The sequence below is a fragment of the Homo sapiens genome, chromosome 7, assembly GCF_000001405.40.
Source record: "Homo sapiens chromosome 7, GRCh38.p14 Primary Assembly".
In the NCBI taxonomy this organism is placed as follows: domain Eukaryota; kingdom Metazoa; phylum Chordata; class Mammalia; order Primates; family Hominidae; genus Homo; species Homo sapiens.
In genome coordinates, this window is record NC_000007.14 from 21,887,546 (window position 1) to 21,913,497 (window position 25,952).

A 25,952-nucleotide genomic window follows, 5' to 3' on the forward strand; every position below is an offset into this window, starting at 1 on the left:
CCTCTCTTAGCCTTGGTTTCATAATCTACAAAACCAGAATGATCAACTTACAGGTTTGCTGTCAGGTTTAAACTTTGGTACAATGCTAGAACAATATGCTTAATAAATGGGAAATCTTTTTATTATAAAGTATACATTTTCATTATATATATTTAATATTTGGCTATACATTAATCTGTGATAACAATGGGAATCCTTTAGTAAATACCTGCTCTGTGCCAAGGGTCATTACCACACACTTTATATGTATGATTTCTTCTCACTATAATCTGGAAGAGTAAGTATTATTCCATTTAATCAAAAAAGAACCTCAGGCTTAGAGAGGTCAAGCAGCTGAACCAGAATTTAAACTCGTAATCAGACTCCAAAGGCTGGTCTTTCTCTGCACCATACTGCCCTGGCTGGAGTGCTGAGCTGTTTGCAGCACAGGTCACCAAAACAATGACTCGTATTTGTATGTAGATGGTGTACAGGCCAACACTGAGAACAACACGGGCAATACGGGAGACCAGAGTTCTGGTTCTGCTACTGACTTGCTGTCTGGCTTTGTGCATGGCTTCCCTGTGCCTCACTTCATTCATTTATAAAATTAAGGTATTGCCTAGAAAATCACCAATGTACCTTTTCATTCTCAAGACACCATGATAATTCAATCTTGAGTAATGTCTAAAAATCCCTAACAGCACTTTGGGGCCATGGCATTTTTGACCCAGAAGGCCAAGGGCAAATGCATTTGTTTAAATTCACAATGAACTGGAGCTTCTTGTCATTACCAACACTACTTGGAGAGGCAGTGGAGTGGGGGTCGGTTTTTGTTAAATACCAGAAAGGAAAATATAAAAAAGACAATAATCTCATGGAGTCCAACATAGTGGGCTGGATGCTGGTTCTCCAGTTTCTAATAACTGTGCCTGCCCCTGATTTCAACAAAGATGATTTCAATTTTTTTTTTCTTTCTTTTTGAGACAGAGCCTTGTTCTGTCGCCCAGGCTGGAGTGCAGTGGTGTGATCTCGGCTCACTGCAACCTCCACCTTCCAGATTCAAGTCATTCTCCTGTCTCAGCCTCCTGAGTAGCTGGGATTACAGGCATGTGCCACCACGCTGGGCTAATTTTCGTATTTTTAGTAGAGATGGGGTTTCACCATGTTAGTCAGGCTGGTCTTGAACTCCTGACCTCATGATCTGCCCACCTCGGCCTCCCAAAGTGCTGGGATTACAGGCATGAGCCACCATGCCTGGCCGAAAATATCATCCAAATTTTTGATTATATTTTCATGATGTGGAGGTTCTTTCTGCCTGAGCATGATTCTATCGATTCTTTTTGTTTTTAAAAAAGGTTTTACTAAGATATAATTTGCACACTGTAACATTTACCAATTTAAATTATACAACTCAAAGGTCTTTAGTATATTCTGCAACCATTACAAGTTTTAGAACAGTTTATTACCCACGCCCCACCCACCCAAAAAAAAAAACCCTGCAGCCATTAGCAGTCAGGCACCATTTGTTTCCCACCCCATATTCCCCTATACCCCAGCCCATGGCAGCTACTAATCTATTTTCTGTCTCTATAGATTTGCATGTTCTGGGCATTTTTAAAAATGGACTCATACAATATGTAGCCTTCTTTCACTTGGCATAATGTTTTCAAGCTTCAGCCATGCTGTAGCATATATCAGTACTCAATTCCTTTTAAGTCTGAATAATGTTCCATTGTATGGACATAGCACATTTTGTTTATCTCATCTGTCAGTGGACATTTGGGTTGTTTCTCCTTCTTGGCTATTATGAATAATGCTGCTATGAACTTTTATGTACAAATTTTGTGTGGACATATGTTTTCAATTCTTTCGGATATGTACCTTGGAGTGGAATTGCTGGGCCAAGTGATAACTCTATGTTTATCATTTGCAAGTACCACCAAACTGTTTTTTAAATAGTGGCTGCACCATTTTATCTTCCCTTCAGCAATGTATGACAGTTCTGTTTTCTCCACATCCTCACCAAGACTGCTACTGTCCACATTTTTTTATTTTAGCCATTCTGGTGGAGGTACAGTGGTGTCACATTACAGTTTTGACTTGCATGTCCCTGAAGACTAACAATGTTGAACATCCTTTCATGTTCTCATTGGCCATTTGTGTATCTTCTTTGGAGAAATGTCTATTTAGAATTTTTTATTCTTTGAGGCATTATAACAGCTTTCTCAGACAAACCTCCTCCAAAGGCAAGAAAGTTGGCCACTGTGTAGAGAGCTCTACAATGATGGCCCCATTAGCAAAAAGCATCTTTTCATAAAAAGTCTTGAGTGGGAAAGGAGAAAGTCTAGATTCAGCATCAGGATTCACAGGGCTCCTTGAGTATATTAAAGTCTTGATGGTTTTCTTAAAGTAAAAGGGAACACAAGTCTATGTATGGAGGACATTTCTCAGGTTTTGTTTGTTTTTTCCTTCTAGAAAAAGCAAGATATACTAAAATCAAGTCTGCTGCTAGGGTACGAGGAAGACCAAAACTTACATAAGAGCCTGCTGTGTGCTGAGCTGTTTGCATACCTTATTAAATTCTTATGGCCACAACCATTAGGTTGCTGTTATGAGCAATATTTTACTGATGAAAAGATTGAAATGCAGATAAATTGTCATTTCTTAAGGCCACCAACCCATTAAGTGATGGAAGCTGAATCAGGCTGTCTAGCTGTATACCTCAGGCCCTTTTGAGTTGGCTGTTTTCTTTTGCCTTCGCTCATTGCCTACCATATGGAAGGCACTTGTCACATGTCTATAAAGACTGATTTTCTTTCCAAAGAGCATGGGCCATTTGCAATCCCATCAGCAGTACATGAGCACGCATTCAAACAAATGTCCCCATGGCAGCTTAACCTTTCCAAGTGGTTTTGGTTTTGGTCAGTTTCTTTGCTTGAAGTTCTGTTTTTAACTTTTTGATTTATTAAGGACAGATTAACTGTGGCTTCTGAAATTTCTTTCAATTTCCTAGTAAGCACAAACAGAGAAGACCAACTACTTGTTTTAGGGAATAATGTTCAGTTGGGATATGTGGATTCTAGGTTTTGGTTTTCTTATTCATATTTTGCCCATATTTTTATTCTGGCTACTTTATCCATCATAGACTAATAATAATGAGTTTAACTCTCCTGTACCATTTTATTTTGGTCGCCCTGAGCCAGGTGACATTTAAATTTTCATTATTCTTATATATAAACATGAAATGATACAAATGTGAATAAATAAAGCCAAGCCAATGGATACTGGTGGTGAAATAGTCCAACTTCTTCCTTCCCATATTCATCGGGTCAAGATTTCCATTTCTGGCAATATGAAGGATTAGATAACTTGAAAATCCTCCCGGTACAAAATAAAAATAAAAATAAAAATGCTGTGTCGAATGTTTTAAATGCACTTGGAATTCGCAGAAAGCAGTCGAGCATCCTTATTAAGGACATAGGCTTTCTAAGTAACCTGGATTGCAGGTTTAAGAAGGAAAGAGAAAACCACTGTTACACACATGATTGTGTGGAAATTCACACTTACTTTGTCCTCTTTAGACTCTGAGTTCCTTAATAACGAGGTCATATGGAGCTTATACTTCTAAGGTTTGTTGTAGTGTACTGGGTGGTGGGTACATATTACTGAATGAATTAAAGAATATTCACTTTGTCTCCAAGTGATAGTGAGGGGACCACAGTGTAGCATACACAGTTACAGACAAATCCCATTTCAGAAACTGACTCAGAAAATCTAGGTAGAAAATAGCTACATTCGATGATAGTTTAAAAATAACATTCCTCTGTACATTTAAGTGCACATACAGACAGGATTTACGGTGCAAGAGACTGGGAGAATTAAAACAGAGGGGTTAATGGTCCCTGGAAACTAAAGAGCAATCAGGGAAAAATAAATCTGAGATTATACTGTTACTTAGAAAATTGTAAGCACTTGATTGACTCTGTGTTTATGGCTGGTCAGAGACTCAGGCTCATAAATTCTTTTGTTACATTTTGAAGTTCTACATTCTAATGTTTAGAGGGTTTGTTATTGCTATTCACATTGCCTTTGTTCAAAACTTCCCCCTAAATTGAATGTCTACCCTCTTGCCCCAGCCTTATTGAAGTAGATGGGCACGATAAAAGCCCGCTTTCTCCAGCCTTTCACTCAGTAGGTAACTGTGTATTGAGCTCTCAGGGTCTGTGGATCCTAAACAACAGACTTTGCTGTGAGTAGCTCAAAGTCCTGGGAAGGTAGGATCGGTCTGACTCTTAGTATATATGGCCTATACATGGTACTTATATACACACACATTTTTCATTAAATGCACATATCATTATTTATAATTATAAAATTCAGGTATATAAATTCACATCATATATAAAATGATGTGATGCAGTACTGTGGAAAGTATGGTGCCCTGGGGAAGTACAGGCTACAGAGTCCTACTAAAATGAGTTCAGAATTATGATTAAAATCAAATGTCTACCTCAGCAAATTCACATCAGAGTCTTGATTTCCTCTCTGGGAAATGGGGATGGTTGGGAGAATCAATGAATGGGAGTGTGTTATAGGGTAGCCCAGGCTCTGTGATGGCTCATTCCTTTTGTGTGCATGTATCACACTGCCCCATGCACACTGCAAACTGAGTCTTCTTAGGGATAGGATTAATGTGTGTTCCTTGGGATCTTCCGCAGAGATCAGTCTGGTGTTGCATATAGAGCAAAATTGTTGATTATAAAACAGTTTAGGGAGCCTGCTACCCAGACAGCATTGTGCTGGAGCCTTCTTGTCAGGGTCTTCTCGAAGTGTTGAGGAAGTGAAAATGGATGCCTACCTACATTTGGAATAACTGACTTTTCCTTTGTGGTTCAAGACTGAAGATGAACTGATGCTGGCACCAGGTTTTGCTGCCCCACCCTACCTAGATTATGCAGGCTACCACCAGTACATAGAGGAGATGCTTCCTCCAGAAAGCCCGGCACTGTATGGCCTCCACCCAAATGCTGAAATAGAATTCCTGACAGTGACATCCAACACTCTCTTCAGAACTTTGCTGGAGATGCAGCCCAGGAATGCACTCAGTGGTGATGAACTGGGGCAGTCTACAGAAGAAAAGGTAGAGGGTCTTTCCTTCCTTTTCTTTTTCATTGAAGTATAACTTACTTGTACTGAAGTCTACTAATCTTAATTGTGCAAATCAATAAGTTTTTACCTAGGTTTTACTCATACAACCACCACCTAGATCAAAATAACATTTCCAACACTCCAGAAGGATACTCATGCCCCTTATCAGTCAACATACCCCTCACCTCCCCCAGAGATAATCAGTATCTTTACCTCTATCATCACAGATTAGCTTTACCTGATTCCAAATATATGGAATCATACAGTGCGCATTCATCCATGTCTAACTCCTTTCATTCTGCATTAGATTTGTGAGATTCATCCATGTTGTTCATGTACCAATGGTTCATTTTTGTTTTGAATTCTATATGAATATAAAATTCTTCATTGTACTGTGAATGGATGTTTGGGTTGTTTCTTGTTTTTCACTTTTATAGAAATATCACAACCATGAACATTCTTCTGCAGTCAATATGCAAAGGTAACTCCCAAAGGCATCCATTCATACTACCCATTTCTCTATACCCAGAAGTGGGATTGCCAGATAACAGGGTATAATGTGTAGCTTTAATAGTATTCCCAATCAGTTTTCTCCAGTGGCTGTACCAGTTACTTTCCCACCAGCAGTGCGTGTGAGTTCCACTTGCTCTATCTTTTTTGTGATTTTGTAAGGGTAATGATATCTCACAGTGGTTTTAATTTTGCAATCCTCAATTGAGGAGTAATATTGAGCATCTTTTCACATGCTTATGGCCGTTTGGATATACTGTCTACCTCCACTGTAAATGAGTTTAAGATTTCAGGACCTGATAAATTGCCGGTCAGAGTGATGCCAGCTGGCAGGCATGATGTCAGAACCAGAGGCAGTAGTCTGAGAAAGCAAGGAAAGAAGGAAAGCTGCCTGAGGCTAAGGACAGGCAAAGTTCCTCCATCTTTTCTCCTTTCTAGATATTGACTGGTTTTTCCAGCTCGGTGGAGCTGTCTACATAGAATTAGTATGCATGTCTGAGTACCATGTGCATACTCATACCTGTAATATATGTCTTTCATTCTTTCAGAGCAACAATTACAGAAGATAGAAGTTTCTTTGTTAAAAATGTTGATGTAAATTGGTCTAGGAATTTTAGGATGCCGTGGTTGGGAGGGCAGCATCATAGTTCAGCAGAATTTGCTTACGCTTAAAAGGCTTATTTGGGTTATGTGACTTTTATTCTATTTTATTTTTTATTTTTTGAGACAGTTTCATTCTGTTGCCCAGGCTGGAATGCAGTGGCACCATCTTGGCTCACTGCAACCTCTAACTCTCGGATTCAAGCGATTTTCGTGCCTCAGCCACCCAAATAGCTGGGATTACAGACATGCTCCAACATGCCTGGCTAATTTTTATATTTTTAGTAGAGACAGAGTTTCACCATGTTGGCCAGGCTGGTCTCGAACTCCTGACTTCAAGCGATCTGCCCATCCTGGCCTCCCAAAGTGCTGGGATTACAGGCGTGAGCCACTGTGCCCAGCCCCTGGTTTGTGTGGCTTTTAAAAGGATCTTTTTAATTTAGCAGATTATAAAATATGGTACCCTAATAATAGGCTTCTACTTCCTCTGATCATATCTTTACATATAAATAACATGTAGCTGATGACAGTTCTATACTCCCTAAATGTTAAGTGAGTAAACTGCAAACAACTGTAGCTCCTTCTTGACCAGATTTGGGGCTCCATGGAAGGGGAAGTGCTGGCACTGGTACAGAGGCACCAATGAGGCAGCTGAGGGAGTTGGCACTGCCATGCTGCCCACCTCCTGGGAGCCGTAGGCATCCTTCACATGCATTTGCAGGCACCTTCGGAAGTCGTATGATATATTCTGTAACTTCAAAAAGTAGAGGATATACACAGTCACCATGACGAAAACTGAAATAGAAAGGAGCTAAATCTTTGTGTTACTGATTTAAGGTTAAGAATGTCTTGGATGACATTTTGGAGAAACTTCCAGAAGAGTTCAACATGGCAGAGATAATGCAAAAAAATTCAAATAGAAGCCCATATGTTCTTGTTTGCTTCCAAGAATGTGAGAGGATGAATATTCTCATTCGGGAAATACGTATATCACTTGAACAACTGGACCTTAGTTTGAAGGTAAGCTTAAAGTGAGGCTATAGTAGACTTCAGCACATTGGAAGATATTCACTGTGTGGCTTTTTTTCTCCATGCAAGGGGGAATTGGCATTATCTCCTGCTGTGGAAGCCCAGCAGTTTGCATTGAGTTATGACACGGTACCAGACACTTGGAGCAAACTGGCTTATCCTTCTACTTATGGCCTAGCCCAGTGGTAAGCTACCCCATCCTCACTGCCACTGGCCCTGAGCAGCCTCGGTGCTGGGTTAGTGTTCTGAATAATGCTTCCTAAGAACTATGCAGACGGAGCTTTGTGACTGTTCTCAACCTGTAACCGTAAAAAATTCTTCCACCAATTTCATTTGAGTTTACTTGGTATATTGCATCAAAGGCAAAAATAGTTAAAAGACAGGGTCAGAGCAAGACTGAAATTCTGTCGCTCACTCATTGATACATGATCTTAGACAAAATAACCTGTCTCTTTTTTAAATCTGAAAAATGTAGATGGCAATAGAATCCCCTGAGTTGTTGTTAAGAGTTGAATGGCCATGGAAAGCAACTTGAATTTGCCTTTGTGTCATCTTATAACTTTACTTTGCAAGCCTGAGATTCCTCTGCCTTCTCATAGACAACCTTTGAAAGTTTGTAATATGGTATGCAGTATGCAGTAAACTAGACTGGGGGTATAACTGCAGAGATGTGTCACAAAGCTAGGGCAGAAATTCACAGATTACTGAATGTAATCTGTGCTGATGTTACACCTAATTGCTCCTTGGTCTTGGCAAGCAATTCAGGAAGTTTCACAAAGCTGTTGATTCCTGGCTTTTTGGTGCTGAGTTTCTTTCCCCCTGCTTTCCTGAATCATTATTCCATGAACCTCAACTATCCCTGTACCATTCCTATTATTTTAGTGGAGACTCTTTACATTGTAGCATGCACACTTTTGACTTTTCTTTCTTTTTGAGACAGAGTCTCACTCTCTCGCCCAGGCTGGAGTGCAGTGGCGCGATCTCGGCTCACTGCAAGCTCTGCCTGCCGGGTTCACGCCATTCTCCTGCCTCAGCCTCCCGAGTAGCTGGGACTACAGGCGCCCGCCACCACATCCGGTTAATTTTTTGTATATTTAGTAGAGACGGGGTTTCACCGTGTTAGCCAGGATGGTCTCAATCTCCTGACCTCATGATCTGCCCGCCTCAGCCTCCCAAAGTGCTGGGATTACAGGCATGAGCCACCGCGCCTGGCCCACACTTTTGATTTTTCTAACACAATGTTAGAGCCTTCAGCTTCCCTCTGAACATCAACCTCCTTCTGGTCTGGAATTGTAGTTCCACCTTATTTTAAGCCACATTATGTTTGTTGTGTTTTGTTTGTGGTCAATCATTATTTTTGTTTTAATATACTGTACTGATTTCTTTGCTCATCATTGCTTTTTTTGTATCTTGTTCTGGGCTTTTCTTTTTTTATCAGAGTATAAAATATAGAGCAGGGCTTGGAGGGTGGGGGTGTAAATCATCTTGTGTTTCTGAAACTGTCCTCACTGCACTCTCCTTCTTGATTGATAGTTTACTTATACGTAGAATTATAGGACACGATTATTTTTCCTTCAGCACTTTGATGTTCTAACTCCATGGTTTTCTAGCTTTGATTGTAGAGGGTGGATCTGGTCTTAAATATTTGCCATTCCTTCCCAAGTAAAGTTTTAAAATGTTTCTCTTTACCCTTGATGTTCAACAATTTTACTATTGTACTGAGGTATGGATTTTTAAAGTACTGTCATAAATGTGAGATTCCATCCATAGCTTTTATTCTGAAAAAGTCTTAGCACTTTTTTCTCTGAATATCGTATTCTCCTCATGTCTACATTTATCTGCCTGACCTCTTAACGTTTTCAGTGTGTCTTTCGGCTGTATACTTGTAGACTTCATCAGTTCTGGGTGATCTTCATTATATCTTCAACTGTCTCCAATCTGTTTCTTAATTATTTAGATGTCATTGTCCAGGTTGGGCGCAGTGGCTCATGCCCAGCACTTTGGGAGGGCAAGGCAGGAGGATCACTTGAGCCCAGGAGTTCGAAGCCAGCCTGGGCAACATAATGAGACCCTGTCTCTAAAAAACAATAATAAAATAAATAAAATAAAAATTAGCCAGGTGTGGTGGCATGCGACTGTAGTCCTAGCTACTCAAGGTGTAGAGGTGGTAGGATTGCTTGAGCCCAAGAGGTCAAGGGTGCAATGAGCCATGATCATGCCACTGCATTCTAGCCTGGGTGACAGAGCAAGACCCTGTCTCAAAAAATAAAGTATATTTCATCGTCCATAATTATCAGTTCCAGGTTTTTTATATTTTTGGAAGGGTGCCTAGCTTAGTTTTATAATTTCCTGTTTTCGTTTTTATGACTGTTATTCTCTTTTCCTGAGAAGTTTAAACATACTTACAAGTAAGTATTTTCTTCAAGACTTCTCTATTTCCTGGGTTATAAACCTTCCTGTTTGTTGGATTTGCTGGTGGTTTTTCATGCCCTATACTCTTATGTCTATACCTGAATGACAGTTTGGCCAGTTATTAAAATATAATAACACCCTCAGTTGGAGGCCTTTGTAGCCATCACTCTCCTCTTGTCAAATGCTGCCGTGGAGATGTCAAAAGCTAGCATACTTCTTTTCCCTTTATAAATGGCTTCATGTTTTCCCCTGGCCATCCAGGGATTCTTCATTGTTCATATTATTCTTTATATTTTAGTATTGATTACTCTCTACCAAATTTTCTTGGAACATGATGTGCCCTTGATTGTATAGATTCAAAGGTATAATTTAGGAAAACTCAAATTTTCTAGAATTACACTTTTTTTTTGAGAGATTCTCATTCTGTTGCCTAGGCTGGAGTGCAGTGACGTGATCGCAGCTCACTGCAACCTCTGCCTCTTGGGTTCAACCGATTCTCCTGCCTTCAGCCTCCCTAGTAGCTGGGATTACAGGCATGTGCCACCATGCCCGGCCAACTTTGTTATTTTTAGTAGGGATGGGGTTTCACCATGTTGGCCAGGCTGGTCTCGAACACCTGACCTCAAGTGATCCACCTGCCTCGGCCTCCCAAAGTGCTGGGATTACAGATGTGAGCCACCACGTCTGGCCTCATTTCAGCTTTCATTTTATTGCTTTCACTCTAACCCTTTACCTCTTTATTTCCATTTGTTTTTATTATTCTCCCTTACGCTGTTTCACTTTTGCTTTCATTTCTATAATTTTATTTTCTACTTCTTATTTGGGGTCTTCAAACTTAATTTCCTTACTATTTCCTACCTGATCCCTTCTAAGTCATGATCTTGTTTATATCAACAATCACTTGTTTTAGTTGTTACAAATTGTCTGCAGTGTTTATCCTCATGATGGCAACATTTTGAGAGAAATGTCTTCCTGCCTTTGCTTTTCTCATTCGCCTTTTTCCTTTGTGTGGTGCCTATGCTGTTTCTTCTTCTTATCGTCGAGTATGCTTTTTCGGATCCAGCTATCTGGAAGAACTTAATATAGGTCCGGGCACAGAGATTTTCCTTGTGGTGACGTAAGTTTGACCGTGAGCATTCTGAGCCTTTTCTTCTTCACGGCCCAGAGTCAGGCAAGTATCTCAGGCAGACATGTTCTGCCATGTGGTTTGTCAGGGTGTTTCCTCATTCACCCCCACTTCCTTTGCATATCTGAAGCAGACAAGGTCCTAGAAAACTTCAGTGCCAGCCTTTCCTTCTAGAGAACTCTGGCTTTTACACTGAGGCTATGCTCTCTACTCCATTCTCCTGGTCCCCTTTAAGCAGCCTCTGAAACTTACAATTCAAGGTTTCACTTCTCTCTTAATTTTATCGAAGAGGTTCATCTGTCCCTAGCCTCTGTGAGCCAGCTTCCTTATAGGTCAACTGCAAATACTTCCTACCTTGCCCAATTGTGAGGAGCCGAGAAGAGAACATGTACGTAACAGCAGCGTTTCTCAACCCACCGGCGTGCCATTCCTGGCTGACTTGTTTTCCTAATTAACCTTTTTCCTCCCCACTTTCAGGCAGCTACTGCACGTGCTTAGACTGCCGTCACGTGCTCCACTGCCTCCGCACATGCTGTTCCCTCTGCTTATCAATCAGATTTCCCGGCAACTCTGGTCTTGTAACCACCATCACAGCCTTGCCATCCCTGGTCCTCAGACACCCTGTCCATACCTCCAAGTTGGCGCTTGTCAGTCCAAGTCATAGGGTGATGACCTTTGTATAGTCACCACATAGCATGAAGAGGCTCTAATAAAAGCTGTTGCATAAATGGAAATGAGTTTTCCACATTCCTCAGTGTATCTTGCTCTAATGTAAACGCTACAGTCATCAAGTCTCCAATGGGAAACAAACTAGCCCTTTAAAGGGACAGTGCCCTGCAAATTGTCAGGGAAGGATTTTACCAGCTAGCAGTGGTATACTTCTCCTCCACCACCACCCTGCCCTAACCGCCCACAACAGAACATACTGGAAAATGGCTATTTTACTGAACAGCAAGTTTTTCTTCCTCCCTCCCATAAACCAGGTTCAATGACCTCCTCCTGCGATGCCGAGAACTCGATACTTGGACACAAGACCTTACCCTTCCGGCTGTCGTGTGGCTCTCCGGCTTCTTCAACCCTCAGTCCTTCTTAACTGGTAAGGGCTGACGCAGTGCAGCCCCTGATGCACACAGGACCACAGCCTAACCAGAAGCCCTGCTTTGTTTACCTATGATGGCGTCTCCTTGCCCTGCTCACCAATCCTCAAGCAGCAGCCATTATAGAAAGGACCAGCAGCTATAGAGGAAACAGAGTCCTGGGCAGGCGAGTAGCAGCAGGAGGGAAAGGACCTCCTATAGCAGCAAGAGTAGCCAAGTGAGGTGGGGCACGGTGTGCTCTTATTAAACATTTTCTGGAAAGGGCCACATAGCTTCTCTGCTACTGTAGTGCGAAAACCACAGACAATCCACAAATGGCTGTGACTATTCCAATAAAACTATCTACAGAAACAGCGAGCTTGTCCTGCAGGCCTTAGTTGGCCAACCCCCTGCTCCAGCGCAGCCATGTGCCAATGCCCAAGAACCTAAAACACCCTATGGGACTAAAGGATGCCTCAATTTACTGGTAGCTCCCGGGAACCTTACATGCAACACTTTTATCCTATTCAATTTTTGTTATATTTCCAAAGCAATCATGCAGACGATGGCTCGAAAAAATGAGTGGCCCCTGGATAAAACGCGCTTGACTGCTGATGTTACCAAAAAAACAAAGGAAGATTATGGACACCCGCCAAGGGAAGGTGCATACCTCCACGGACTCTTCATGGAGGGTAAGACACCCCAAGGGGTAAGTGGGGAACCTTTTCTTACTCAGGTTCAGATCAGTGTTTGTCCTCTGCTTACTGTTTCTCAGCATCTCCTCACTCACACAGTAACCTTATGCTAGTCATTATCTCATTTCTTCCTCTTAAATAATTTAAGTGCTGGGATGTGTGTCCACTGTGAACCAAACTGTAATATTTGGGGTGATGGCTATCACTTAAATTTTGCACATATATCTGGATGTTAATGCCACTGAATAACATCATTAGACTTAGACTGAATTTACATTCTTTTTGCTTTTCAATATAATCATTTCAAAATCTTTCTTCTATTGTTTAAAAACTGTCAGTAAATTTGCTCTAATGTTTTACTACAAGACTTCTCCAAGCCTGGAAGATGCTACTGCGTAGGGTGAATCTCTAAGAGGGGGTTAGACTATGCAATATTTTCCAAATTTATCTGGCCATGCATTTATTCCACAGGACACTTAGTCCCTACCAAGATGTTCCTTTTTCAGTTTAAAGCAAGTGCCACAAGTTCTGGTGTAAAAGAATAAGGTGCGACGGGGAGGAAATGTGGTGAACTGGAGATTTTTAAAGGGAGGGCAAACTAGTTCAGTGTATGTGAATTCTCTTAGAATCCCATTTCATAAAATCAGCTTACTTCCACAGGAAAGTTTAACCACTACGCATGGAAGCAAAGCGGTGCCTCCGCTGCAGGCAGGGTAACCTACCTTTCAAAGCTCAGTCCGGCCAGCTCAGTAAAAATACCACTGACAAGCAAAAATATGACAAAACCAGAATGTTGAATGTTTATTGCATCAAACAACTTACTTGATCATTATCATTAGTAGCAAGCTGCCACACAATTGCAACCGCTGTGTTTTTGCCATAGGCGCCCGCTGGGACACCCAAGCAGGAACCATTGTTGAAGCCCGTCTCAAGGAGCTGGCATGCCCTATGCCGGTCATCTTTGCAAAAGCCACCCCCGTGGACAGACAAGAAACCAAACAGACCTACGAGTGCCCTGTGTATAGAACCAAACTGAGAGGCCCCAGCTACATCTGGACCTTCAGGCTGAAGAGCGAAGAGAAGACTGCAAAATGGGTTCTGGCTGGAGTGGCTCTGCTTCTAGAAGCGTAAGGTAACACTGGCATTCCTCTAGCCTCTGCTGGAGTGCAGTGAGGATTTTCTAGCATGTTGCTGCACTGTTCCCATGCACATTATTCTAACTTTTTAGTAACTCACACGTGCATTCTTTTTTCAACGCTATCCTTAGAGTGAAAGTCAGAAAAAAATACTAGAAACTAACTCAGGGCTGAGCGTGGTGGCACACGACTGTAATCCCAGTTACTCAGGAGGTAGGAGAATCACTTGAACCTAGGAGGCAAAGGTTGCAGTGAGCCGAGGTTGCACCACTGCACTCCCTCCTGGGCAACAGAACAAGACTCCATCTCAAAAAAAAAAAAGTACATCATAAAAGTACATCATATGTGAACATGCAAAAGCAATGCAGCCGGAAAGAACGGAGATTTTAATTTTTAACAAACAACAAATTAAATTATTAGCCCTTAAACTCTTTCAAAATATAAAAGCAGCAGGCCCCAGGTGAGTCCTGAAGGAAGAGGCTAGCACTCTGTAAGGCCTCCAGTGTCCAGTGTCTACAATGTTGATGGTCCCCTTTTGTTCAGTCAAGTTTTAATAAAAATAAAACTGTTCTACAGTTAATTGCACTTTGTTCAGTGTAAATTTCCAATGACCAAGAGCAGGTTAAACGATGTGTGTGGTCTATTAAACTGTGGTCACTCGTGCTAAGGCACACTTGGCCTGGAGTGAGTTACTGTTTGGGAAGCCAAAGATAGATAGATCAAGTGCAGGAGCTGATCATACAATGTTTTCTCTCTAACTTACTTACCTGAACTTTAACCCCACCCCATTTAAACTGTGCTTTTTAATAACTGGCAGATATTTTTAACAAAGTTCAGCATACAGACAGGTCTGTGCATACATCTATATAGATTCCTCTGCTCTGCTGTCTTCCTGAGAAATCTTTGTAAGCATATAAACAATCTTTAACAAAAAATAGTAATTTCTACAAAGAATTTCTGTATAAAAACACAACTGTAAAAAAATCTTTCTTAGGCACCAATGGTATGCATGTCTTGTTGGAGTACTCTATGGTGAGGTGGCTGGTTCTGTTTGTTTTCCTCTTAATTGTCTTCTACCAGCTCCTTTTGTAAGCTGGGAAAAAGATGAGAAGTATTTGGTAAAGTAGTACAAATACACAAATGGCATTCTAGGCTTGAGAGATTCCACAATCATCTAAGAGTACAAAGCCAGAACCCAGATCTCCTGACACTCGAAATCCTGACAATTTATGCATCAATATCCGTATACCCTCTGGTGTAGTACGCCCCAAGCATGACTTGCCTCACTCCCGCATTCCAGAACCACGATTCAGAGTTTATTAATTACATAAATGAAACTTGTAACTCACATTCTGTCCTCTTGCCCTGAACTCTCTCTCTGCACTAGGATTATGGCTGCCTCTTCATAATCTGTGTCTTTCCCCTCAGCCTGCCTTGTTTGTTTGTTCCTTCCATTTCTGTCATACACCTCAAGGAGAAATTTTGGTTAAAGGCAACGTGGAGTTGAGTTGAAAAATCTAGCAAAGGAGAAGATTCCCTAATAGGGAAAATATCAGGCCTGAGCTTTTCCAATGCAAACAGATACAGAATGGATGGTACTCGTGGTTTATATAAGTAAGTAAGTCACACGGGAAGGCAACAACTACTTGCCCAGAGGGTCTCCTGTGCTCAGCCTCAAGATTTCAAGCTGTTTTGTAAGCTGCTAGAGACTTACTTACCTCTCCAGATATTCCTTAACATTGTCATAACCATAAAACTTGGCCAGATGAATGAGGATTCCTGTGGCACAGCGGCCGTCACGCTTCCGACAGTAGCTGCAATTGCAGATCCCACGACAGGGGGGACACACCCAATCCTAACAGAGAGATGACAGCAGACACTTCGCTCATTATCTACAGGGTCTGGCAAGAACTGGGATTCGGATCCAGAATGGCTCAGCTGGCCTCTCCTCCAACCTTTAATCACATGGCATCTTTCAGTCTACGTCCCAGGGGGCTCCTCACAAGGCAGGAAGGCTGAATCACCCCACGTCACATGCAAACACTGAAAAATGACACCTTTTAGGGCTCCTTGCTTAAAAATTATGGAGATTTTCACAAGCATTTGGCCAAGCACAGGGCCCTGTGCGAGCATGCAGGTCACAGGCCCAGGATGTCAGCCCTGGTTTAGGAGCACAAGGTTTCCAAAATATCAAGGTATGAATTTCAGCCCTTTCAATGTGTGCTTATTGTTGAATGACTAACCTGAGCAGCAGTTTGTTTGTCTGTCAGTTGAGGACCATATATTTACCCCATGACTGCTGCCTAAGAGGTCACACTCGGGAGCAGGACTGCCCCAGGCTCAAGGTCGTGCCTACTCACCATGATACTATGTCTCATTTTACCGAGGGAGCTGAGAGAGGTTATACACCTATTTCATGGGATTAAACAAATTTATGGTAACAGAGTGAGCGACAGCTTGCACAGTGCCAGGCACACAGAGAGCACTCTATACTGCAATCTCCACCTCCCTCTCAGCCTGGCCCAGGAAAAACAAAACAAATCAGAGGGAAATCACTTTGCTGAAGGACAGGTACAGGGATTACTTGCATAAAACTAGAGGACTGTAAGCAAGTTTTGCTCTGACAATGGAAAATCTAACAACATTAATTCTTCTATTCACTGGTCAGCTTGCTCTCCTTCCAGAAGGAATCCCTATTTTTCATTTTCCCTGGAGCCTTAAGATACAAATGGAAGGGAAAAACCAGAGTTCTGGAGCTCCCTAGTTCCCAGTGAGAACCCAGGAGGCCCATCTTTATAGCTTGCTTCCTTCACCAATACAATTTACAACAAATGCAAACACTGTTCCTACCGGGTCCAGCAATGCCGATCTGACATCCTCCCCATAGCGGTTCCGCAGGCATGGTCCACAGAACTGTCCTCGCACACCACAGCAACCCTGGTTCCGACACACTGTCTTGGTGTCGATGGTCTTTTGTCGACACTGATGGCACGTGTTACCCTACAGGGGGAAGGCAGTGAGCAGGTGAACACAGGGATATGCTGATGCCCAATGAGGCCAGATGCCACCATGTGCATTTCCAAGTATATGAAGAAATACCCCCGTCTCCTCGAATCAAGCAGGACTGTTTTCCTAAGAACCACAGCATTGTCTCTAGACCGGGGTCCCCAGCCCCCAGGCTAGAACCAGTCTGTGGCCTGTTTGGAACCGGGCTGCACAGCAGGAAGTGAGCAGCGGACGGGCGAGCATTACCGCCTGAGCTCTGCCTCCTGTCAGATCAGCAGCAGCATTAGATTCTCATAGGAGCACAAACCCTCTATTGTGAATTGCACATGTGAGGGATCTAGGTTGTGCACCCTTTATAAGAATCTAATGCCCGATGATCTGAGGTGGAACAGTTTCATCCTGAAACCATCCCCTTCCTGCCCCCCAAATCCATGGAAAAACTGTCTTTCACAAAACCAGTCCCTGGTGCCAAAAAGGTTGGGGACCACTGCTCTAGAATGTAACCATCACAGGTCTGTGGCCAGAGAAACATATTAGGTCAGATGAGGCTGAGCAGAGACCCAGAAGGAATGAAATGATCAGGCTGTCAGGAAGAGAGACCAGAGAAAAGCTTGAGGCAGGGGTGGCAGAGCCCCTGAAAGGTGACAGGTGACTGAGGGGCAATGAGCCTTGGGTGGCATCACCTCGGCCCCAGCCTAGCTCTGCAGACCTGGATACCTTCAATGTGAGATCTATTTTTTTTTAAATATTGGCAACTAAATTTAAAACTTGACAGTGTCCCGTTACATATCCAGAAAAACACAAAAAAAATGCAGAACGCAAAGCCTCCCTCTAAATCACCATTTAGAAGAAATTTAACCCATTTCCTACCAAAGATATTCTGCCAAACTTTAATTTCTATGGTTATATTACCCCCCAAATATACTTTTTTCAATATTTAGAACATAAAACTATATGCTTAAACCATTAACAGTTACATATAAAAATCCCTTTTAAACTATACCGTTCCCTTCCCCCAGATTCTACGCATCCCTAAGAGAGACCGCCGTCCAGATGGGAATTACTGCACTAGGCTGCCTCCCCTTTCCCAGGTACAGCTGACTTTTGACCCTCCAATTCAGAGCCTGGCTCTGAGCCCTTGGTGAGATGGCATAAGCCCTGATAGAGTTTAAAAACAAGTGAGATTTCAATACCAATGCCTTCGACTCCCAATAAGAATGACAATTAATGTATACTTTACCAGAACTTTATCATAGATTTTATCTCGAACAGTTATGGCAACATTTTCTAAGTCCTCTTCGGTGATATCCTCCACTGGCCGAAAAGAAGATATACGGTGACGTCGTCTGTACTCCCGGCATTTCCCCTGCACAATGAACACAAGCAGAACATGGAGATGTGTTGAGCAGTTATAAAAAAATTATAAATATTTTAAACTCTCAAAGATCTAGCACCATTAATGTTAACCCCGTCCCTCTTCTATTTCCCTGCAGCCATTTCATTTAGTTATTTACTGAGCTCCTGCCACCTGCCAAGCTTCCTTCTCAGCAAGGCGATACAATCATAAAGGAGGAACTCAAGGTTTTTGGTTCTTTGCTGTAAACTCTGTGGAGAGGTGAACCACACTGAACAGCCAAACCCACAAATGGGTCCACAGTTGCTCCCTCCAAACTGAAAGCGCTTGAAACGCCTCATGCCTAAAACAGAAAGGCAAGGAGGAATCACTGCACTTTTCTTTATTGCCTGCAGCAGAGATTAAAGCAGGGTCCTAACAAATGAGCTGCTTCTCAGCTCGGCTTGGATAAAAGACTCTCTCTGTGACCTCCAGCTTAGACCAGGGCTGCTTCTCAAAGTGTGATCTCAGGAGCAATGGCATCACCTGGGAAGCAGAGAGAAATGCAAGTTCTCAGCTGCCGCAGACCCACGGGGTCAGAACCAGCCCTGGGGTGACAGTGACGTGCGTTCACGTTTGGAGGGATGGTAGCTCAGACAAAAACTAATTCATGTATTAGTCAGAAAATACCCCAATTGTCTTCCTTCTTCGGAAGCTGTAAAACTCTTCCGCAAATTTAGCGGCTGAGACAGTGAAGTTCTCTAGAGCAAACTTCTCAGGAGGCCGCGCACTCCGGGTTGGGTTCATACGCCGCGTGATCTGTCCCTCCGAGAAGGCCCGCCTCACTGTCTTCTTCCTCTGAAATCAAGAGCACAGACAGAGACAACTGGGGACTCTCTCGAATAAAAGCCGTCTGGTGGCTGATCACCATATATCAGTATTGGTATAATTATAAGGAGTTCTACTTACAGAAGCTGAGGTTGGGGTTCGTACTGGGAAGAAATCTGGCATCGAGTTCAATTCCGCCAATAACTGGGCAAGCTGAAGTTCAGAACAAAAGAAAGAATCTTACAAAAATAGGGCTCCAGGTTTAGGTCATCCAACACCTATCTCAAGTCTTCCATTTTGCCACCATAAGAAACCTAACTTGAATAGTTTATATAACCCACAACAGTTATACTTTTAACCTCACATGTAAAGATTGTACCTCCAGACCTGAGATGCTGATGTCATCATTCATATGAATGAACACTAGCCTATTCCTTATATATAAGGACAACACAACACTATGAAAACAGTCCTGGAATGATCAAGACCTGGAGCATGAGGTTCCGATCCCGACTCGGAGGCTAATCCAAGGCGGTGTGACCCTGGGACAATTCATTTTGCACACGTGAGTCTCAAGTTTCAGGATGTTCAAAAAAGAAAAAGCTCAACTAGATTATTTCGATGGTTATTTAGAACTCCAAAAGTCTGATTCTTTAAATAGATTAATTTCTCATCAATCAAAGTAATCTATGAAGATATTCCTACGTGAACTAATAATACCAAATAATAGGCATTAATATGCCAGAGAATTTAATTAGGATTCGTTTTAGTTTATACAATTATATGAGTGCCACCAAAAAAATCATAAAGAAAATAGCTTATTTTAAAGATGCAGATGGATACAGTGCTGAAAATTTCCCTTAGCTAAGTAAAAATGTTTCTTAGGATAAAAATAATCCGAAAGTAGGCATTCCATTTTTGTAAGTAATTTATATTAGACATATAAGCTTGCATATACAGTATCACTGCATCATTCTTTTTTTAAAAGGAAAAGATTAAAAAATTACCAAAATGCTAAAAGGGATAAGTGGTAGAACTATTTAAAAAAAAACTGTAGATAAACAATTATGAAGCAAACAATGATTCTCTACAATGATCAGATTAACAGTAATTGATTATATACAGAAAAACCAAATATATGTAACAAAGATTTCACCTGGTTCCATTCATTGTTCTAATGAAGACAATGTAGAGTGAATTAACACTGTTGAGGTTGTTTTAATTCCTAGACCTCTTCCATTCCTTCAGAAGTCTCAGAACCAGTGCTGGTCACCATAGAAGAGTGGTTCTGTGGTGAAAAGCTACCTGCCCAACCTGCTCCTTGCAACTTCTCAGTGGACTTGGTGACATCCCACTTCCCCTGCTTTACTCTGCTGGGAACGGGCTAGTTGTTCAGCCCCTCTCATCCCCAACACAACTATATACTTAGAACTTAGCTTGGTCAACAGTAAGCAGCATTATGGCACCATGTAGGGGCTAAAAATGGTGCTGGGGAATCTCTTTCTGTTCCCAAACCAGAGCTGATCATGTAATAGTTGCTCTGGGTTCTGGAAAAGTAAAAGGATACACAATACCCAGAGTATATTTTCTTGACAGAAGCCAAAGCAACAGCAGCAGCTGTAGGAGCAAAGTGGTTCTGGGAGCCCAGCAACTGCTGCCAGAGCCTGGTGCCAACTCCCAGGACGCCCTCCGTGAAGCCTCACCATGGCTTTGTTCTCCTTGATGTTCATGGTCCTTTTCAGCAAAGCATCTGAACTCTCCTGGCTCTCATCCCGAGAGTCATCCTCAGACTCAGAGGTAGAATCTTCCCTTTGTATCACCTGTCTACAGTCTTTCTTTCTTTCAAGAATTGTTTTTTTCTCATTCTGTAAGCGTGCGCTAGAAAACAACTGCTCGGAAGAACTGTTTTTATCTGGTTTGTTGGCCAGCTTCTTGGTGGGGAACTGAAAGGCTACTCGAAGACCAATACTACTTCTTCTAGACCTGCTTCTTCTAGGGGTAGCCTTATCTTCTTCTTCATCTTCCTCTTCCTCGCTCACCAAAGATGCTTTGCCATCATCACTCAAATCTGACTCCACGACCTAATAAAATAAGAGCAAGAAAAAGCACAAAGACACTGTTACAGACCCACAAAAAAGACATGCATTTAAAACAACTGACAGCATTATGAGAAAAAACATGAAAAATGAAAAGCTTCCCCTTCATATTATGAGTTCCCTCTGAATTTCCTTTAAATGTGCAAGAAATTGGTTGATGAATAAAATCAGAGAGCAGGCAACCTACTACTGAACTGTGCACCATCATACCCGCGACAGAAATGGGTTCCATTCAGAGCATGAGGGCTGTAAGCAAAACACTGACAGGGTGGGTTCCTCCACCGTGGGACAACCAGGGAGCACCAGCAAGAGGAGAGACAGTCACAGAAAAGGAGAGACAGCAGCATGACAGATGTGATCTTCAGACAGGAAAGGACGCAACGGGGGAAAAATGCTGACTGGTCTCCTCTAAATAGCAGGAACCAGACTCCTGAATAACAGGGCGGGAGAGCTGACTGCACCTCAGGGCAGTGACCCAGGACAGGCAGATGACCTGCCACTGCGTCCTCAGTCAAGGGGCACCTTTCCCTTCTCTGGAACCCTCAGAGCCATGAGGTGAAACCAGGTCACAAAGCTCTACAGGTTGTAGCAAAACACCACTCAGTCAACTCAAGAAATCCTCACCCGACATTTTCAAATTCCACATGGCAGAGGTCTCCAGCATTCAAACATTGCTCTGTTTTACAAGTGAGAACACAGTAAATATGGAAGGCAGTAACAGGGATACATCACCTAGGTGACAGCTTGGATGTGACGGGACTCTTAGCAGTGGTACAGAGACAGGTTTAAGTATGTAAGATCTAGGACGTCTTCTGGGCATCCTTCCATGACCAGAAGCTAGAAAACTTTGGGAACCATTATCTGGGAATTCTGAAAATCTACCAAGAACACGGAATGGCACCGATACGGACCCAGGATCAGTTCAGGGACTCTGCTTCCTCCCCGGTGACGACCATCAACCCCAAACTCTCGTTGGACTAAAGTTAGAAATAAGACACAGGGAGAAAAAAAACGCAGATAACTGCCAACCCTGGTATATCCACACCAAGCCAAGTGAGGAGTAAGACTATATGGCACTGATTTATCTATTTTTTAATACCCTGAACTTCCCATATTAATAGCTTCAGAATTCAAAATGGTGTACTGCAAAGGAACCCAATTTCAGGGGACACTGTCAGGGAAGAACTTCAGTTTTGATCCATTTATCTACCATCCTCATCATCGACAGGCCTCTCTTTACCAGATGTGGAACAGCTCACTACAGAGGCCTGAAGGAAGGAAAGAACAAATGGTACACAGCAGCCCAGAATCAGACCCAAGAGAAGAGCACAAGTGTAGTACATGGATGTGGTTATTTCGCATCCGGCCAGCAGACCCCTGGAAACCAAGTTACAGCAATGTCCCATTATCAAGAAAGATAGGTTCGCCAGTTCCCACAGGGGTGGGCAGGAGGGTGGGCTGGGAGGCAACAATGCTTTTCTTCTCACTGGATTCTAAAATAAAATTTGCAAGGGCCTGTGCTGAACTGTAAGCTATATCATGATCTATGTAACTACATCACACAGTCCATAGACTTGGGGGCAGGTGGGAGGGAAGACTTCTGGGGTAATTCACTTTCTCTCACTAGAAATGCAAATGCTTCGAATAACCAGACATCACTTCACTAAAGAACAGAAAATAAGTACATTGCTAACTGATGATGCCCATTAGGGTTTTAGAAGCATCTTAATATCGTGCTGGCAAGAAGCTAGGGACTTGCTGGCCAGAACTGATGGAACTGCCACACAAACAGCTTCTGCAAAGAAAGCCAAAGGAGACCTGGGGCCTCCAGGCTGGCACAGCTCTATGTTGCTACTCATAGCAAAAAATCACTATCAAACGAAGCAGCCTACCATGCGGGCTTTTATGCTCTACATTCTCTCCTAGGACAAGTGAGGGACATGGCAGGCTAGGAGTCACGGCTTATTTATACCTCTACACAGTCTCTGCCAAAAGTTAGTCTTTAGCAGCTTCTGGCTGTGAAGAGGCGTAAACTCTACGTTCCATCTTCATACTGAAGAAGATAGTAGCATGTTTATTTTTTGCATAAATGTATGCTATTTTTAGCAGAAAACATTTCTGCACTTAAATCCGAAGGCTGTGCCTTAAAGTTACCTTCAGGTTCAAACACGAGTGGGCAGTAAACTAGCCTAACTGTGCAGGATAAAACAAACAAATAACTAACAAGTCTGTTCATAGGAAGTGCTGAGAGTAGACTTCCCTCCAGAATCCAGGCAGGCCTGGGTCATCTTTAACACTAAAAAGCATGACAAATCCAAATCCACAATGCATGGGGAACACCAAGTTTGTACCACAGCCAAATTTTTGCCAAATTAACTTCAAACCAAAAACTGTCACTTCACACACAGTAAGAAAGTATCTCAAGAAAGTTGTCATCTAAGATAAACTTTTAGATAAAAGAGGTTTAAGGAACTCTTGAGATAATTTTTTTTTTTTTTTTTTTTTTTTTTTTTTTTTTTTTTTTTGAGATGGAGTCTCGCTCTGTCACCCAGGCTGGAGTGCAGTGGCTCAATCTCAGCTCACTGCAACCTCTGCCTCCCGGCTTCAAGAAATCCTCCTGCCTCCGCCTCCCGAGTAGCTTGGATTACAGGTGCCCGCCACCACGCCCGGCTAATTTTTGTATTTTGAGGAGAGATGGGGTTTCACCATATCGGTGAGGCTGGTCTTGAACTCCTGACCTCAGGTCCACCCGCCTCGGCCTCCCAAAGTGCTGGGATTACAGGTATGAGCCACCGTGCCTGGCCAAGAGAGATAAATTCTTTGAGAAGGACAATAAAGGACGCCTGGGACACATCCCCAAAAACCCCCTAAGGCACGAGGAGAAGATGAATGGATTTTCTCTAAGAGAATAATGGACTGGTGGACCAGGGATTAGCCTTCCAGGAGCAATTTTTTTAGGTTATGTTAATTGCTTGTAAGATAAATATGTAAGAAAAATCTTTTCACTTGTGAAGTGACTGCTTACAAGTAAAACTCTTTCAGAAACAGGATTAAAAACGTTACCACCCACATCCCTTCCTGTTGTAATTATTACCATTACTTCTGGGTTAGTCTTTCCATTCAGATCACTCTGCGTAAATCCTGCAAAATCCTCAGTCTCTGAGTCAGTGTCCTCTATAAAAATTCTTCTTAGCTCTTCTGTGAAGTATTTGGAATGAAAGCGCACATCCTGCTAAATTAAAGACACACATACATCAGAGACGGAAAGTAGAATAGAGGTTACCAGGGAAGGGTAGAATGAGGAGCTACTGAACGGGTACAGAGCTTCTGATGGAGATGACGAAAATGGATGGACAACAATGTGAATGTACTTAATGCACTGAACTGTACACATCAAAAACAGCTGAAATGATATACTTCATGTTATGTGTATTTTACCACAAAAAAAAAAAAACACTGGCCGGGTACAGTGGCTCACCCTGTAATCCCAGCACTTTGGGAGACCGAGGCAGGCAGATCACTTGAACTCAGGAGTTCAAGACCAGCCTGAGCAACATAGTGAGACCTCATCTCTGCAAAAAATACAAAAATTAGCTGGGTCTGGTGGCATGTACCTGTAGTCCCAGCTACTTGGGAGGCTAAGGTGGGAGGATTACCCAACCCTGGGAGGTCGAGGCTGCAGTGAGCTGCACACCAATGCACTCCAGCCTGCGTTGCAGCCAAGATCACACCATTGCACTCCAGCCGGGTGACAGAGTGAGACCCTCTCTCAAAAAAACCCGCATACGTACACGTATATATTACATATATACACATTTTCTAAAGCTTACAAAATTCAGACCTACAAGACAGACAATTTTTAAAAATTGGGTGTAGTCTCAATCAGCTTCTAATGTGACTGGTAAGTGCTCATGGAATTCAGCTTCTCCTGCCAAAGCTGGCAACCAGACACGTCTGCTTTCACATAGAACCAAAACACATGGAAAGAAGATATGAGGAGAAAACCTGGCTCCCTCCCACGTGTTGGCTTCCCTTTCCAACAGCCTTTCAAAGCCGGAGTCTCCTCCAAGTGGGTGAGCATGCCTCCCATTCACCAACAGCGAGCTTCTCTGTAGGAAAAGGCTGGGGCCTCTCTCAGCCCCCACCGCCCACCACCAGAGAGCCTAGACTTGCTCCATGAGCAGACACCATGGGGGCCTGATGGAAAGCTCATTCAAGGTCACCCCCAGGAATTTCTCTCGTGCAGGAGGTGAGAGGTGAACAACCATGGCTAGGTGGCAAGTGAGCAGAAGGAAAGATGCAATGTGACTCTTTAAGAAAAGGCATTTTCTAATACTTTTTCTTTTGAAATAGTGCAAAGATGGAAACCCAACTCTCTTAATAGTATACTTGAAAGAAAGAGGAAATAACAAACTGCAGGCCAAAGGGAGACCCACGAGACCAGCCCCCTGCAAGCCCGCCACACCTCATCAAGACTAGAGTCTGTCCCCAGTTTCCTCTGACGTCTCTTCCCCCCATCTCTGATATAGCAATGACCCCTTGTAACACCACACTTGGCGGGGAATCTGTATCTACCCCACTGCGTTTCCCCGCCTTTAATTATATACTTCTTTGAGCTCATATATCTCTGGGGAAAGATAGATATAATAGACAAGTGGAAAAACTTACAGGGGCACACAGAAAGAAATGCCTACATCTAGCATTCTGTAAGCTTAAAAATGTCTCCTATGAATTATTATGGGTAATTGGAGTGAGTTTGCTCAGAGCTGAATTACTTTGTTCCTTTGTTGATAGCTGTAGTGCAGCTGCTTGAGAAAAAAAATTGCACACACAAAAGGGAAGTTTCTTTAAAGTGAAATTCAAATCGTGTTTAAGGGAGACCAGAGTTAGCATACACATACTGTGTGCAAGTTCATGCAGCTTCTCTCTATTGGTTAAAATGGATCATGAGCCTGTGGGGTCGGGGTAGAGAAGC

General features: G+C 42.6%; 2 protein-coding genes across 4 annotated transcripts in view, besides 2 other annotated features; one reads left to right on the plus strand and one right to left on the minus strand.

The window, feature by feature from the left end:
* DNAH11 (dynein axonemal heavy chain 11) overlaps nt 1-14,294 on the plus strand; it is a 358,801-nt gene extending 344,507 nt beyond the window's left edge. The window contains exons 77-82 of the mRNA NM_001277115.2: nt 4,880-5,122; nt 7,078-7,260; nt 7,339-7,454; nt 11,791-11,903; nt 12,435-12,575; nt 13,462-14,294. Coding sequence (NP_001264044.1) covers nt 4,880-5,122; nt 7,078-7,260; nt 7,339-7,454; nt 11,791-11,903; nt 12,435-12,575; nt 13,462-13,709 — 1,044 coding nt within the window. The 3' untranslated portion in view covers nt 13,710-14,294. The remainder of the gene's footprint in view (nt 1-4,879; nt 5,123-7,077; nt 7,261-7,338; nt 7,455-11,790; nt 11,904-12,434; nt 12,576-13,461) is intronic.
* Nucleotides 10,617-11,816: an enhancer, noted in NCBI's record as "BRD4-independent group 4 enhancer chr7:21937780-21938979 (GRCh37/hg19 assembly coordinates)". NCBI's record gives its function as "activates an origin of replication core promoter dependent on BRD2, P300/CBP, MED14 and CDK7 cofactors, and independent of BRD4, by STARR-seq in HCT116 cells {active_cell/tissue: HCT116}" and the evidence as "EXISTENCE:reporter gene assay evidence [ECO:0000049][PMID:35650434]".
* Nucleotides 10,768-10,827: an enhancer, noted in NCBI's record as "active region_25701". NCBI's record gives its function as "activates an Ori minimal core promoter by ATAC-STARR-seq in GM12878 lymphoblastoid cells {active_cell/tissue: GM12878}" and the evidence as "EXISTENCE:reporter gene assay evidence [ECO:0000049][PMID:35858748]".
* The window catches only part of CDCA7L (cell division cycle associated 7 like), a 45,001-nt gene continuing 32,402 nt past the window's right edge, over nt 13,354-25,952 (minus strand). For 2 of the 3 annotated variants that reach the window (NM_018719.5, NM_001127370.3), the window contains 8 exons: nt 24,072-24,209; nt 20,585-20,962; nt 19,023-19,094; nt 18,744-18,911; nt 17,961-18,086; nt 16,565-16,714; nt 15,433-15,569; nt 13,354-14,807 (listed from right to left, as the gene is read on the minus strand). In NM_018719.5, coding sequence (NP_061189.2) covers nt 14,777-14,807; nt 15,433-15,569; nt 16,565-16,714; nt 17,961-18,086; nt 18,744-18,911; nt 19,023-19,094; nt 20,585-20,962; nt 24,072-24,209 — 1,200 coding nt within the window. In that variant the 3' untranslated portion in view covers nt 13,354-14,776. The remainder of the gene's footprint in view (nt 14,808-15,432; nt 15,570-16,564; nt 16,715-17,960; nt 18,087-18,743; nt 18,912-19,022; nt 19,095-20,584; nt 20,963-24,071; nt 24,210-25,952) is intronic. The other variant, NM_001127371.3, reaches the window with a different exon arrangement.